The sequence below is a fragment of the Homo sapiens genome, chromosome 20 (assembly GCF_000001405.40).
Source record: "Homo sapiens chromosome 20, GRCh38.p14 Primary Assembly".
Classification (NCBI taxonomy): domain Eukaryota; kingdom Metazoa; phylum Chordata; class Mammalia; order Primates; family Hominidae; genus Homo; species Homo sapiens.
The window spans coordinates 41,088,184-41,105,201 of NC_000020.11; the positions used below are offsets into that span (position 1 = coordinate 41,088,184).

Sequence of the window (17,018 nt, forward strand, 5' to 3'; positions counted from 1 at the left end):
ACAGTTTGGAGTCTTGATTTAAAAACACTGTAGGGCCGGGCGTGGTGGCTCACGCCTGTAATCCCAGCACTTTGGAAGGCCGAAGCGGGCAGATCACGAGGTCAGTAGATCGAGACCATCCTGGCTAACATGGTGAAACCCTGTCTCTGCTAAAAATACAAAAACAAAATTAGCTGGGCGTGGTGGCGGGCACCTGTCGTCCCCAGGTACTCAGGAGGCTGAGGCGCGAGAATGGTGTGAACCCTGGAGGTGGAGCTTGCAGTGAGCGGAGATCACGCGACTGCACTCCAGCCTGGGCGACAGAGCGAGACTCTGTCTCAAAAAATAAATAAATAAATAAAAACACTGTAGTCGATGAGAAGAATGGTGCCAAAGTCCCAGGATAAGGGAAAGGGTGGCGTTCGGAATCTCCTCACGGTTACTCTGTGACTGCTGCAGACAGGCTCCTTGCAGATGCTCTCATACACCTACATATATATATATTTTCTCTATTTGGAGAGTAATAGACTGTAGGATTGGGTGGTTTCCTGCATTGAGATCCTTCTATTAATATATCAATGACTCTGCCAATTTCATACCTGAAAAAGTGGTAGGTTAGTTATAGAAGATCTTTAATATTCCTTTGAGGTCTAAGATTCTGTTAAATATTTTTGTTTAAATTGTGTAAAATACATATGACATAACATTTATCATCTTAACCATTTTTAAGTGTACAATTCGGTGGCATTAAGTACATTCATATTGTTGTGCACCATCACCATCTCCAGAACTCTACATCTTGCAAAACTGAAACTCTGTAGTTATTAACAATTCCCCACTTCTCTGTTGCCCCAGTTCTTTTTTTTTTTTTTTTTTTTTTGAGACAGAGTCTCGCTCTGTCGCCCAGGTTGGAGTGCAGTGGTGTGATCTCAGTTCACTGCAACCTTCGCCTCCTGGGTTCAAGCAATTCTCCTGCCTCAGCCTCCCAAGTAGCTGGGATTACAGGCTCCCACCACCATTCCCGGCTAATTTTTTATATTTTTGGTAGAGACGGGGTTTCGCCATGTTGGCCAGGCTGGTCTCAAACTCCAGACCTCAGATGATCTGCCCGCCTTGGCCTCCCAAAGTGCTGGGATTACAGGCGTGAGCCACCGTGCCCAGCCTATTCCCCCAGTTCTTGGTAAGCACCATTCTACTTTCTGTCTCTATGAATTTGACTACTTTAGGTACCTTGTATTAATAGTCATACAGTATTTGTCCTTTGTGACTGACTCATTTCACTTAACAGAATGTCAACGCTCGTCCATATTGTAGCATGTTTCAGAATTTTCTGACTTTTAAAGGCTAAATAATATTCCATTGTTTGTCCTGCATTTTGTTTATTCATTCATCTTTTGATGGACATGGGTTATTTCTGCCTTTGGCTGTTGCAGATAGTGCTGCTGTGAAACATTCGTGTACAAGTATTTGTTTGAATATTGAGTATATTCCTGGGAATGGAATTGCTGGGTCATGTGGCATTTCTGTGCTTAACTTTTTGAGGAACTGCCATACTATCTTTTCCACATTGGCTGCACCTTTTTACGTTCCTACCAGGACCACACGAGGGTGCTAGCTTCCCTACACCTTCACCAACACTTGTTATTTTTTGTTTTATTGCCATCCTTATGAGTATGAATGGTATCTCATTGTGGTTTTGATTGGTATTTTCCTAATGATTATTGATGTTGCATATTTTTGCAGGTGCTTATTGGCCACTTGTATATCTTCTTTAGAAAAATGACCATTCAAGTTCTTTGCCCCACCCCCACGTGTTTTTTTTTGTTTTTGAGATGGAGTCTTGCTCTGTCGCCCAGGCTGGAGTGCAGTGGCGCAATCTTGGCTCACTGCAACATCTGCCTCCCAGGTTCAAGTGATTCTCATGCCTCAGCCTCCTGAGTAGCTGAGATTACAGGCGTGCACCACCACGCCTGGCTAATTTTTTGAATTTTTAATAGATACAGAGTTTTGCCATGTTGGCCAGGCTGGTCTCGAACTCCTGACCTCAAGTGATCCCTCCGCCCGCTTTGGCCTCCCAAAGTATTGGGATTACAGGCGTGAGCCACTGCGCCCAGCCCCTATTTTTAATTTTATCTTTTTTTTCCCCTCCACCTTAAGACTGAGACTTTGCCCATTTTTTTAATTGGGTTGTTTATTGAGATGTAGGAGCTGTTTATATATTTTGTATGTTAACCCTTTATCAGATACATGATTTACAAATATTTTCTCCTATTCTGTGAGTTGTCTTTCACTCTCTTGAAGTGTCCTTTGATGCACAGAAGTTTTTAAGTTCAGTGAAGTTCAGTTTATTTATTTATTGAGACAGAGTGTCTCTCTGTTGCCCAGGCTGGAGTGCAGTCACGTGATCTCGGCTCACTGCAACCTTCACCTCCCAGGTTCAAACGATTCTTGTGTCTCAGTCTCCTGAGTAGCTGGGATTACAGGCGTATGCCCCCATGCCTGGATAATTTTTGTATTTTTAGTAGAGACGGGGGGGTCTCGCCATGTTGGCCAGGCTGGTCTCGAACTCTTGTCCTCAAGTGATCCGCCCACCCCAGCCTCCCAAAGTGCGGAGATTACAGGTGTGAGGTACTCTGCCCAGCTGCAATTCATTTATTCTTTTTGTTACCTGTGTTTTACGTGTCATATCCAATAAATCACTGTCAAATCCAATATTGTGAAGCTTTTCCCCTATGTTGTCTTCTAAGAGTTTTATATTTTTGCTCTTATATTTAGGTCTTTGATCCATTTTGAATTAATTTTTGTGTATAATGTAAAGACCCAGTTTGATTATTTTGCCAACACTATTGTTGAAAAAACTGTTCTTTCTCCATTGAATGGTCTTAAGCATCTTGTTGTAAATCATTTGACCATATATGTTGACTTTGGTTTTATAGTAATACCATTGTTACAATATGGTTTGATACATGTAATTTTTATTTGATGTTTCTGAACTTTGTTTAAAATATTGGACTTGTTCCATGGCTGAATGATTGATAATAAAATAATAAATAAAATATTGTACTTGGAAAGTAAATATGAGGGTAGTAAGTTAGTTATCTATTCGAGTAAAAGAAACTTGAGGCATAGCCAGTTGCAATTTGTGAGCCTGAGTTGGATCCTGGTCTATAAAATAAATTTAGATAAAATAGGGAAGTTTTTAATATGGACTGGGAATTAGAATTATACTAGGAGATTATTTTGTTAGATGTGATAATAGTTTTGTGGTTATGTGGAAGAATATTATTTTTATAGAGATACTTGCTGAAATATTTAGTGGTGAAGTATCAAATCTGCAACCAACTTTGAAAATGGTTCGGCCAAAATAGGAAATGTAGCAAATTATTAACCTTTTTTTTTTTTTTTTTTTTTTGAGATGGAGTCTCACTCTGTTGCCCAGGCTGGAGTGCAGTGGCACAATCTTGGCTCACTGCAACCTCTGCCTCCTGGGTTCAAGCAATTCTCGTGCCTCAGCCTCCTGAGCAGCTGGGACTACAGGTGCGCGCCACCATGCCCAGCTAATTTTTGTATTTTTAGTAGAGACGGAGTTTCACCACATTGCCCAGGCTCCTGACCTGGATCACGACCTCCTGACCTCGTGATCTGCCCGCCTCGGCCTCCCAAAGTGCTGGGATTACAGGCGTATATGGTGTTTATTGTATTACTCATTTTTTTCTTATGTTCGACCATTTTAAAAATACATTTTCAAAAAGTTGTTCCCACTGAGCTTTAGATTCACTTATCAGTGTTTGCTAGATAGTTCCAGGTAATGCGTAAGTACCTTAAACTCAACATGCCCCAGTTAAGCTATCATTTCCTAGTCGTCTTCCTTTATGTCCTTTCTCATAGGGTTGTTTTCTCCTCTACCTTCCATCTGACGTCACCACTCTGAGGAGGCCTTTTCCTTACAAACAATGTAAACAATCCCTCTGTCATGTATGCCATTGTGGTAAAACAACTGTTTACATTTTCAAGTCCCTCACTTGTTACTGAGCTCCTTCATTGTTGATCTCTTCTGTCCAGTATTCTTAAACTGAGCTGTTGAAATGTATTTTCCTTTATTCACCACAGTATTTCATCTTACTTGTGAGCGTTGGCTTTTTCAAAATGAGAGACACTGGTTCTTTTGATCCAGGCCTTGAATGTGAGGCCCAGAAGTCATTCCAGAGCACTAATCAGTTGAGCGGATAATTATTTGGCATTTAATCAGTGATGATCCCCATGTTAGACAAGGCGATCACTAAATGAGGCTGTGCTTTGTCTTTTAAAGGTGGGAAGAAGAGCGCTATCCTGAAGGCATCAAGTGGAAATTCCTAGAACATAAAGGTCCAGTATTTGCCCCACCATATGAGCCTCTTCCAGAGAATGTCAAGTTTTATTATGATGGTGAGTTGTTTCAAGGTTCTTGATTCTTGGCCAGGAAAAGAAATCTGCTTCTATTTAGGGATAGAAAACAAGGAAGGATCCTATGTAATAGATAATCCTTTTTATTTCATTTTGTTTTATTGCCATGCAATTTTGAGGAAGGGGCATCAGGTGTTAACTCTTAAAGGCTCATTTGCTGCTGAAAAAGTGCCATGGAAAAGGGGCTATTCATGTCTTCCCTACATAGTCCAAAAAAGGTTTGTCAACATGGCTAACAGTGTGTGGTCCACAAGCTGAAGGTTTTGATCTGAACTTCATTTCTAGGGAGCAACTCTTCGCAAGAGTTATTAGAAAAGCCTCACTTGAATGGTAGTATTTTATGTTAGCAATATAACAATGCAATCGGACAAGCTGCTCATCACTAGAAACAGTATTAGTATATGGTCGAGGATTAATAGTCTGCCATCCATCTCTAGATAGGGCTGGTAGGCATCTGTCACCTATTCTGTGTAGCATAACACTATGCCTTTGATATATGTGCAATCAAGTCTGATGAGCTGCTTTAAAGAAATGCCCTGCCTGGGTCTCTTAGAACCCTCAGAATTGTCCCTTATCTGTCGTTGGTATTTGTATCCTTGGGTTTGAAGGATTTGAGGGTAGCCTTTGACATGCCTCCTGTTGGCAGTGTAGCAGTATGTAGATGGTAATAACTGATTTTCTTCATTCCATGAGTTTTATCCAGAAATGGTTAGAGCATTGTTCCTCATACCCTTATGTGCTTATGACTCACCAAAGTGGATCTGAGCCCATTTAACAGTTGTGGGGTGGGCTTCTTTTCCCTTTCCCCACCGTCCCTCTTCTTCTTTCCCCTTTCCCAACCATCCTTCCCTCTTCTGTCCCCTTTCCTGACAGTCCCCCTTCTCCTTTCCCCAGCATTCCTCTTCCACCTCCACTTGTCTTACCACCGTCTTTTGGCCACTGTTATTTCACCACCCCATTTCTCCACCATTTTTCCCACCCTCAGCCCCCCACTGTTTTCTTCTCACCCATCCCACCGCCCGCACTGAAAAGAAAAAGTTCTGGGGTGGGATTGAGTACTTCTGAACCAAGTGGTCTGCTGACCAAACTTTGAGAAACACTGGGCAGGATAACTGCTGAAAAGCATCAGTGGTGAACACTCAGGCATTCTGGTGCATCTCTCTTCCCACCAGTAGTGGCCTTAGGTCCACCAATGCTTGTAGGCCTAGGTAGTAGTTTACACTAAAGGGCTGGGTCTGCAACTGAAGAAAGTGCCAAACTTGGCAAGCTGAAATTTGTTTTTTAAAATGCCATATTTATTAGCCAAGTGTGGTGGTGCACGCCTGTAGTCCCAGCTACTCGGGAGGCTAAGGTGGGAGGATTGCTTGAGTCCAGGAGGCAGAGATTGCAGTGAGCCTAGATCGTGCCACTCCCCTCCAGCCTGTGTGACAGAGTGAGACCCTGTCTCAAAAAATAAAATAATAAATAAATAAATAAAACATATTTATTGAATGTATTTGTGGTCAGACACCAAGACCCAGCAGTGGATAGTACTACTGACTTAGACCCTGATCTTGGGGAGTTTGCAGCCTAACAGGACTCCATAATCTCAGAGGCAAATGCTTATGTTATGTAAACATTTTGACCTGTTGACCAGAGAGCCTAAGACAGTTCTTTCAGCCCTCACGCTGGTCATTCCTGGAGACTCTTAACTATAACTCAAAGCCAAAACTCCTAATTAAGAGAAAGGGCCTAGAACCTTGAAGAGCACCATCTCAAAGCGTAGGTATTCCGTAGGCCTGGTCTGGACTTACCAAGAGCTTTAGGATGCTCAGCTGGTAAAGCCTCACTTTGAGGTTCAAAGTGATGGGAGGGAAAGCTAGATTCCCTAGTCCTGTGGTTTCTCTTCCTTTTCAAGATAGGAAGCAGAGGCCTGGTCTAGTTCACAGGTTGCCATAGTCCTTTCCTCCCATTCTTGCCCAGTCCTCCTTTACAGGATCCTGCTTTAGGGCTCCAGCATTTTCTCAGCTGGTCCTCTGCTGGGATTTCTTCTCTTTGATTGTGTGAACTCTTACTCTGCAGTAAGTCAAGAAGTCATATTTGACTTTACTTCAAACTGATACAGTAAGTGCTGCCTACTCTCTGGGGAGGAGAATTCTTAGACTCCTTTAGAACTTGCCAGGGAGGTGGGGCATGGGCTAGCTGAAGCAGTGAATTACTGCCTTCTCTGAGGACCTTCAGTTTACAGCTTTGATTCAGCAGTTTCCTTTTCCTGGAGCTCAGCCTTTTCCACAAAGTGTTAACATTGCCAGGAACCTTCCAGTCATCCTCCCACTACTCTGATGCAGGGAGCCATCATTTCATCTTTTGACAGCTCATCTAAAATAGGAGGAGTCACAGTTGCTTCTCCCTCTATTAGGACAGAATTCAGTAAAACAGCCCAAAATCTCATTTTTTTTAAATTTATTTTTATATTTATTTATTTGAGACAGAGTCACACTCTGTCACCCAGGCTGGAGTGCAGTGGCACAATCTTGGCTCACTGCAGCCTCCACCTCCAAGGTTCAAACGATTCTCATGCCTCAGCCTCCCAAGTAGCTGAAATTAACAGGCACGTGCCACCACACCTAAGTTTTGTATTTTTAATAGAGACAGGGTTTTACCATGTTGGTCAAGCTGGTCTGGAACTCCTGACCTGAAGTGATCCTTGCACCGCCTCCTAAAGTGCTGGGATTACAGATGTGAACCACCATGCTCAGCCACATTTTTTTTTAAATGGTGTTAACAGTTTACATTTTTTTCTTGCCATTTTATTTCATTTATTTTATTCCTAATGACTTAATGTTTTCCTTTATATTGGAAACATGTTACAGTTTTCTAAAGAAGTTCAGGGAATCTTTTAATACACAGCCTATCTTCCCCGAAGTGTCTTTCTTCCAAAGCAGAAGCTTGGGGGTTGATGGGGGCAGCTGCGCCACCTGTTGGCCTTTTAAGTTAATGGCGTCCAAAGTGGGTTCTTTCTATTATAACTGTTTCAATATTGTGCTACAGTTCTCTACACCCCTGCAAAGTCAGATTGCATATCATTATGAGATAAGATGTCTTCTGAGTTTTGAAATAAATGGATTTCTGGTTAAATTTTAGTTTTCTATAAAGAATGTGGGCAGCCTTGGTGAATTATTAATACCTGTGTAATAGTAAGGTGGTGGAATTATAGTTAACCTCATTTTAAGTATAGCCAAATGCTCTTAGTATAGCATGGATTGGTTCGAGGTGATGTTGTAAAGTTGGATTTTTAAGAAAGAATGGAAATTGGCACTAAGAGTACTGTCAAAAGCATTTGTTTGAAAAGTGGATTAAATTCCCAAGTACTTTTCTTTCATTGCTTTATTAACTAAATCAGGTATATAAAACCCATAGGCCCTATTCAGATTTTCTTTACCAGTTAGCAGCTTTCATTGTGAAAACATCTGAGTCCCTTTAGACAGCTTTTTGTTTATTTGAGACAGTCTCAGTCTGTTGCCCAGGCTGAAGTGCAGTGGCGTGATCTTGGCTCACTGCAACCCCTGCCTCCTGGGTTCAAGCGATTCTCATGCCTCAGCCTCCTGAGTAGCTGGAGTTACAGGCTCCCACCACCACGCCCGGCTAATTTTTTATATTTTTAGTAGAGATGGGTTTTCGCCATGTTGGCCAGGCTGATCTGGAACTCCTGACCTCAAGTGATCTGCCTGCCTCAGCCTCCCAAAGTGCTGGGATTACAGGCATGAGCCACTGCTCCCAGCCCCTTTAGACAGCTTTTACATAAACAATTGGATACACCAGGAACCCCAGTCATCCCTTGTGCTGTGGATGCATCCTGGTTCCCTGAAAGAGGCAGCATCATGGTACCCATGTTCCAGAGCAGTGTGTCGCAAACTCTAGTGTGCATCCAAGTCTTGTTAAAAATGCAATTTCTGTATAGGATTCAGTAGGTCTAGGAGGGGGCCTGGGATTCTGCATTTCTAAACTCCCACATGATGCCAATGCTGCTGGTCTGTGAACCACTTGTTGAATAGCAAAGTTCTAGAAGAAGGTCTTATTAGGCTTTTCATATGGGAAATCTGGGCTTGCCTAGTATGGATATATATTTTTTTATTCATATTCCACCCACCTAACTTTGAAGAAGAAAGATGCCTATTTCTTTTCCCCACAATTCCTTTCTTCCACTCCCTGCCCTATCCCTTCCTCCCCTTCTTGAACAGAGGCTGCTTAGCTTAGCAGTGGCAGGAGTCCCTCTGAGGATTTGATTTTTAAAAACCATTGAAGAGGTGTAAAGGACCCTGCTTGCTGAAAGGAAAAGGAAGAGTGACTGGGCCTCCCCCAGGTCATCCCTGTCCTGAGCAGGCACCTGGGAACAATTAACTGGCATAGTCTCCAGAGAATGACCCAGGTAAATATATGCTAAAGAGAAGGAGAATTTGTACAAGTAGATATAAATCAGTATGTTGTCTTTGTTGTTGTTGCTACTATGTGTCACCAGACCTTTATATACCATGAGAAGGCAAACCATTATTAAAGAGAATTCGCTAGCCCTGGGTATTTATGCTTAGAACATGAATACTATACCTCACTTTTTGGAACCACTTTTTTCTCTAGGTAAAGTCATGAAGCTGAGCCCCAAAGCAGAGGAAGTAGCTACGTTCTTTGCAAAAATGCTCGACCATGAATATACTACCAAGGAAATATTTAGGAAAAATTTCTTTAAAGACTGGAGAAAGGTACTGTAGCCCATGTGTTAATATCCTAGTACCTTGCAAAACAATCAAGTACTAAGTAATAAATTATCATTTTGCAAAACATTTCCTGATGTAAAATTTGAGTTGTATGGATTTTGTTGTATTTAAACTTGCGTATTTTTTGTCTTCATTTACTATATTATGTAGGGTTTCTGTCCAACAAGAGTACTTGTATATCTTTGCTATTGGCTCTCATGTGATGGCAGGTAGGTGGGGGTTATCAGATTAGGCCAAACAGAAAACCTCAACTCCAGTTGCGCACAGGAAAGTTTGTCGCTGCAGGACTGCCCCGTGTCTGCTGTTGCAAAGAGAAATGTTAATCTGATGTCCCTCTCGCTGTTAATTCTTGCTCATTTATTTTAGGTACTTTCTACTCTTGAAACCACATATACTATATTTGCCTAGGTGATTTTTTAAAATCTCATTATTCTCAATTTGGATAATGTGGACAGAGGCAGCAGTAAAGTTTACTTCCTGAACTAGCTCAGAAAAAGCAGACTTAATAAATGAATAGAATAGGGGTAATGTTTCCAAGAGAGAATCAGTATGGGATTTCAAACTTGTATTCATAATGCCTGGGGGCTGTGTGCCACGGAGTCTAAGAAACCACATAAGAATTCATTTTTTTCCATGATAAGTCATTTTAAAACATTTTAATATTAGTAAGTACATATTTTATAATAAAGTAATACAACTGTATTTTTTTGTTTTTTCAAAATTCATTAATTGAGATTGGCTACTTCCAGAAACCTTTGACTGAAAAAATGGTGCTTGGGTGTATTTGCAAAGAAACCCAAGGACTTATTAGTGTATTTTCGTTGTTTTTCTTTCATCTCCCCATTTTCTTTTGACTAGGAAATGACTAATGAAGAGAAGAATATTATCACCAACCTAAGCAAATGTGATTTTACCCAGATGAGCCAGTATTTCAAAGCCCAGACGGAAGCTCGGAAACAGATGAGCAAGGAAGAGAAACTGGTACTACAGAATTTATTAAACCTCTGGAGAATTCTGGAATTGTGATTGGTTCATTTAACTTTCTTCTTGGTTCTTATGACACAACATTAACATCAGTAATTTCACATCATTCTATGCTAAAGACTTAGAGTTCTCAAAGTCTAAATTTTCTTAAAGGTTTTAGTTAGACTGAAAATTGTGAACAAGTACTTTGCTCAGTAGCTCTGTACAGGAATCTTGGTGCTTCAGTGACCTAAAAACCAGTCAGTAACTCCAGCCAATAATATAGTAATTAAGGATGGGCAGACCTGTCCCACAGTGGCTACTGGATATTAAGGATTTAAGACAGATGAAATCATATTGGCCATGTACCTCCCTGCTCTTTGATCTATTTTACTCTGGAATCTTGTGATGCTCATCCATCTCCATCTTCCAGCCTTGGCCATCCTCATTACTGAAGGATCTTTCTGGTATCCAGCTGGGATGTCATTTTTCTTCTACAGGCTGCCTGTTTTTGTAAAAAAAAAAAAAAAAAATTTATTGGAACCAGCTGCCTCTACTTGTCTACATATTATCTACGGCTGTGTTTATGCAACAATGACAGAGATGAGTAGTTGCAAAAGAGAGTAGTTGCAAAAGAGACTGTGTGGCACTCAAGCCTAAAATATTTTCTATCTAGAAAAAGTTGTCAGCCCCTGAACTAAAGGAATCCAGGCTAGAATTTCATTTTTACCAATCGGAAGTCCAGAAGTTAAGGATTTTAAGGAATTCTTTGCACTTCAAATTCCTGTAGTTTCAGTATTTTAAAGGACTTGCGTGTTTACGTAATTCAGACCATTGTATTGATATAACTCATTGTTTCATGGTACTTATTTGGTCACTAGTTTAAAAATTAATGCATTACTATAAGAATGTTAATTGCATCAGACTTTGTGTCTCAGGTAAATCTTATCCTCAATATTCCAAGTTAGTGAAATTTAGTATATTATTTACTTCAGGGGCATTTTGAAACTTAAAAGATCACTTTGGAGCTTTGTTCTTAGAATATTGATCCAAAGATAGATTTTATAAACATCCCCTTGTCAGAGCCTCTGCCAAGGACACCTGCTGCCAGCAAGGTCTGAATCTGTTCCCACCCACAAGGCAGCACAACTTAGTTAAACTGAATCAATAAGTATATAAAACGCAGAGTCAATAGAGGGTAAGGAGGCTCAAAATCTCCCCCACCATCCCTCACCTTTTTGGAGCAAGGATCATAGTATAGAGTGTATATACCTGTATACCTACAAAAAAATTAGTGACAGATCTGTCTGAGCTTAAAAACCCACGTTTTTAAGCTGTTTAACTGCTGTTTAATTAAATGGCTTGAGCTATTCTTTTATGAGGCTCTATCAGAGACTCTTCTCCATTTCCTGTTTTGATAGTACTCAGTAAAACAGTATGAATTTTTAAAGTACATTTAAAAACACCCAAATAACATTTACAAACATATATCCTTTAAGACACAAGAATCAGTTTTGAATCTAGTTGAAATCAATCCTTATAGGCAGATCTTTTTGGGGAATTTTATGATATTTAAGTTTGAGAAAACCACTAGAGGTTTTCCTTTATTTGAATTTATTTTTTAGTGATTTTTCAGACTTTCCTCTACCTTGACTTAGTCTCCCACAAGAGATAAAATGCATTAGTAGAGAACAGCAATCTGAATCTATTTTGAGTACTTTCTTGCTGTCTTCCAGAAAATCAAAGAGGAGAATGAAAAATTACTGAAAGAATATGGATTCTGTATTATGGATAACCACAAAGAGAGGATTGCTAACTTCAAGATAGAGCCTCCTGGACTTTTCCGTGGCCGCGGCAACCACCCCAAGATGGGCATGCTGAAGAGACGAATCATGCCCGAGGATATAATCATCAACTGTAGCAAGTGAGCTCGCACTTCATCCTATGGGCCAAAAAGGGGGTGGAGGGCGTCCTTTATTGTACTTGGGAATATTTCCCAGGTTACACAGGACTGTTTGGGAAGGGAGATACTTAAGAGCAGGACAGTATTTCATGCGTAGGTCTCCAGATGTTTTTGAGGTACAGTTGTCTCCCCTCATCCACAGGGGATATGTTCCAAGACCCCCAGTGGATGCCTGCAACTTCGACCCAATTGCTGTCACTTGGAACACATTTCTGTTGATGTCTTCCACCCCCAAATTTAATGTCTTTTCCATGTTTATTAAGTACTTATCACATAGAGTGGCTATAACTTTTGCAGTCTGAGGCACAACAGCAAAACTAGCACGACTTTCTTTTTCCTTCTTCACAATTTCACAGATGGAAGGTTAATTCTTACCTTAGATCTTAGCAACTTCACCATACAGTTTTTTTTATTAAGTCGATAATTTCCACCTTTTCATTTAAAGCACTCTGTGCAGCTTCTGTATGGCATATCCAAATTGCCAACATCACCACTTTCACACTTTGGGGCCTTTATTAAGTAAAAGAAGGATTACTTGAACACAAGCAATGTAAAACCATTAAAGTCAACCTGATAAATAAGGCAGCTACTAGGTTACCCATGGGCAAGTGACATATACAGCATGGTATGTTGTATATATGGTTCACGCATCCCAGGTGGGACTACAAGAGATTTCATCATGCTCCTCAGAATGATGTGCAATTTAAAACTTACAAAATGTTTATTTCTGGAATTTTGTATTGAATATTTTCGGATGACAGTTGGCTGAGGGTAAGTAAAACCATGCATAAGGTGGGACTACTGTATTGACTGTTAAGAAGGAAACTTGGAAAATTATGCTCAGCAGATAGGTCCACTTGGGGTCATGAAAGGTGAAATTATTCCTCACATCTTATTTCACTATCCTCGTGCTCTGTTATTTCCAGAGATGCCAAGGTTCCTTCTCCTCCTCCAGGACATAAGTGGAAAGAAGTCCGGCATGATAACAAGGTTACTTGGCTGGTTTCCTGGACAGAGAACATCCAAGGTTCCATTAAATACATCATGCTTAACCCTAGTTCACGAATCAAGGTAAGGGGATAGTTGAGAGCTGCACTGGTTCATGGTGCTGATAACCTTTTTTTGTTGAAATGTAACGTTCTCGTCCTCTAGAATCACTTTGACAAATTAAAAATCCTCCCCATTGAAAGAAGGCAAGTACTTTCATAGTTAGCATTATGGTGATCTTCCTACAGTGCCTCCATTTTTTTGGTCACATTGTAATCTTATTTATTAATTCACAAATATTTACTGAAATCCCAAATGTGCCCCACACAGTATACATTTGATGCTAGGAATTATGTTGGTAAACAAGATAGACGTAGGCCCTGCCTTCATATTGCTTAACGTCCAGTGGTCAGAATGTGTTGAAGTATGGTGATTGTATATTGGCCTCTGCAGATGTCTTCTACTTCCTCACCTCTCTTGGTTATGAGAAGGGAATGTAGTTTCTGTATATCCTGAAACAAGTTGTAAAATCTAATGTCTTACATACTTCTGGCTTCCTGCAGTCTCATCTGGGTAGGTTCACCAGGGCCAAATGAAATGTGTGTGAAAGCACATCATAAAACTGTGTTACATACCTATGCACTGTTATTTATTGATAGTGTTATTGCAAGGAGATAACTGCCTTGGGGGAAATCAGTTTTTGTTTGCCAGATAGCTATGTATATCTAGCTTTGGAGAGTCCCACGAACTTCTTCCCTCCAACATACTATGAAATATAAACCTAACAGAGACAAAAACACAGTCAAGGAATTAGTTCTATGTAGACTGTTAACTGTTTTATGTGCAGGAGACCTGGGACTAAAGACCTTCTTGATCCTCGTTCATAGGTTATAACATCTGTTAAAATGTGAAAGCCACAGCTGAAAAGGCTATGTGAATAGGCAAGACTAAACTGTACATTTTCTGGCTTGTAGCCCTGTGTTCTTCTGTATATCACTACTTTTCTAATGAAAAATACCTGTTTATATATTTTCTCCAATTATAAAATATACTTTTCTGGCTGGGTGTGGTGGCTCAAGCCTGTAATCCCAGCACTTTGGGAGGCCGAGATGGGCGGATCACCTGAGGTCAGGAGTTCGAGACCAGCCTGGACAACATGGCGAAACCCTGTCTCTACTAAAAATACAAAAATTAGCCAGGCGTGGTAGTGGGTGCCTGTAATCCCATCTACTTGGGAGGCGGAGGCAGGAGAATCGCTTGAACCTGGGAGGCAGAGGTCGCAGTGAGCTGAGATCACGCCACTGCACTCCAGCCTGGGCAAGAGACTTAGACTCTGTCTCAAATAAATAACTAAATACATAAATAAAAATAAAATGTAGTTTTTGTAGTTTAGATAAGTACAAAATCAGAAAGCGAACACTTATGTTGAGCAGACTAGTCATTTAAAGAAACATGTATTCCTCTTCTGAAGTATCGCAAAGCTGTATATATGGCTACAAAAGCAGAAAAATAATAGTTTTAGCCCTTAAGGAACTTATAGGCTGGTGGGCAAATCAGGTAAGAATTCAGTTGTATTAGAAGAAAGATAAAAGTAAAATGCATTAGATAAACAGAGGAGTTATTTGCAGCACCTTAGAGATCAACAATAACTTTATGAAGAAAAGTAGGTTATGGTTGGGTCTTAAAAGTAGTATTTCAAACAAGAGAGAACTGTGTCGTGGACAAAGGGGAGGGTGGTAAGCAGAGTATGTTGAGGATAGGGGTTGAGAAAAGGTGTGATAAAAAGAATTATCAAGTGGTGACAGTTGCACAACATTGTGGATATACTACTAAATGTCACTAGTGGTAAATGGTATCAATGCATATTTTACCACAACTTAAAAATGATCAAAATAACAGAGTTACTATTAAAAACATTTGCACATAAGTTAACATTTGGATCTTCTAAGCATACCGCACATACATATACTAATGCCACCATTTATAGATGAGTAAATTTAGTCTCTGGGAGGCCCAAAAATTTGCCCAAGATTCAGTGGCTAGTAACTCTAACTTAGATCTTCTTAGAATGTAACTTAGATCTTCAGTCTCTGCATGCTTTCCTGTGACATCCACTGCTAAATGTGGCCAGCTTTAAATGCCATGTTAAAGAGACTGAGCCCTTAAAGGACTTTGAACAGTGGAGTGTCTTGAACACAGCTTCACTTCAGCAAGATTTACAGGCATTATATGTAAATCACATCAGTAAATATGAACTGTTATAAATGCTGCAAAGGAAAAAGTACAGGGTGCCATCTGAGAGTATACCAGGGTACCTGATCCAGCCTCTGGGGTTCAGGGATGGCCTTTCTGAAGAGGTAACATTTAAAGGATAATGTAAAGAAAAAATTTTTTTAAATTAGTACCTGAAGATCTGGCTGGCCTCACTATATAGCTTCCTCTCCTGCCTCTTTCTTCCCTCAGAACGACCAAGCTCTTGCTCACCTCTGGGATTTCAAAAGGCTACTTTATTTTCTCTATTAGAAACACCCATTCTCCTATTCTTTCCAGGGATACAATCCTATTCATCCTGTAAATCTCATCTTAAATGTTAACTCTTCAGAAAGGCCATCCCTGAATCCTAGAGGCTGGATCAGGTACCCCGGTATACTCTCAGATGGCACCCTGTACTTTTCCTTTGCAGCATTTACAGCAGTGTAAATCTACTGGTGTGATTTACATATAATGCCTGTAAATCTTGCTGAAATGAAGCTATGTTCAAGACAACTCCACTGTTCAAAGTCCTTTAAGGGCTCAGTCTCTTTAACATGGCATTTAAAGCTGGCCACATTTAGCAGTGGATGTCACAGGAGAGCATGAGGAGCATACGCTCTAAGAAGATTGAAGAGTTACTAGCTGTTGGATCTTGGGCAAGTTTTAGGGCCTTTAAGTTTAAAAGGAAGCCACCAACCTGGGATTTAAAGAGGGAAATGACACCAGATTTGTATTTTGGAAACTCGTTACATAATTGATCATTCTGACTGCTGCTCTGCGGAGACTGGATTGGACACAAACAAGAAGTAGAGAGATCAATGGGAAGCTGTTGCATACTCCAGGCAAGAAACAGCGATGACTTAAGACAAATGATGGCAATGGGGATGGAGAGAGGTGACAGATACATAATGTATGCTGAGTACTTGTACAGGTAAGGATTAGAGTTAATTAATTGTTGGAGCCTCTCTGAGGGCTGAGATCCTTGTTAGATAGACCAGGTGAAATGCCTCAAGAGCAGAGAGCCAGTCAATTTTATTCCAGACAATATCCAGCTAACTGCTATACACAATAGACATTTGTGCAAGTTTCTGGATGATGATCATGGTAGTGAACCTAAAAGTCACCCAGAGTTAGACTCTGAACCTTATGCTCAGGAGAAAGTGCCTGACTTGAACTGCAATGGGATCCCAATAGGAGTCATTAAAGGCCTGGAAAAGTGGTGCCATTAGGAGAAAAAGAAATGATTTCTTGAGCTTGCTCTCAGTTCTCTTTTAGGCTGTCTTGTACTCAGCAGAATAGTGAGATCTTCAAAGGTTGGGGTTTGATAGTGCCTTGAATAATTTTTAACTTTATATTGCCAGCGGAAGAAGCATTCTCTTTTTAGATTTAAAAAATGTAGATACAAATATTAGGGGTTTTATTTTTAGTGAAACATTTCAAACATACAGGAATAGATAATTATGTAATGAACACTCGTATGTCCACCATCTGGCTTTGTAAAATCTTAAAATTATGTCTTATGTGCTCAATTGTTTTATTTCATAAAAGATACTGATAAACATAGCTGAAGTCACTTGTATACCATTCACCTTCTTCCCTGTAGATTACTATGAACTCGGTCTTTTTATTCTCATACATATTTTTTGTATTTTTGCAGTATATTTATGTGTTCATAAACA

At 40.2% G+C, this 17,018-nt stretch overlaps 1 protein-coding gene and 1 long non-coding RNA gene across 2 annotated transcripts in view; one reads left to right on the forward strand and one right to left on the reverse strand.

Annotated features, from left to right (window-relative positions):
• TOP1 (DNA topoisomerase I) overlaps positions 1-17,018 on the forward strand; it is a 95,666-nt gene that overhangs the window by 59,362 nt on the left and 19,286 nt on the right. Inside the window, exons 9-13 of the mRNA NM_003286.4 lie at positions 4,289-4,404; positions 9,037-9,158; positions 10,032-10,154; positions 11,873-12,060; positions 13,026-13,170. Coding sequence (NP_003277.1) covers positions 4,289-4,404; positions 9,037-9,158; positions 10,032-10,154; positions 11,873-12,060; positions 13,026-13,170 — 694 coding nt within the window. The remainder of the gene's footprint in view (positions 1-4,288; positions 4,405-9,036; positions 9,159-10,031; positions 10,155-11,872; positions 12,061-13,025; positions 13,171-17,018) is intronic.
• Positions 9,811-17,018, reverse strand: part of PLCG1-AS1 (PLCG1 antisense RNA 1) — a 40,007-nt gene continuing 32,799 nt past the window's right edge. The window contains exons 5-7 of the long non-coding RNA NR_109889.1: positions 12,989-13,106; positions 12,475-12,609; positions 9,811-10,641 (exon numbers count right to left, since the gene is read on the reverse strand). This is a non-coding gene — a long non-coding RNA (PLCG1 antisense RNA 1). The remainder of the gene's footprint in view (positions 10,642-12,474; positions 12,610-12,988; positions 13,107-17,018) is intronic.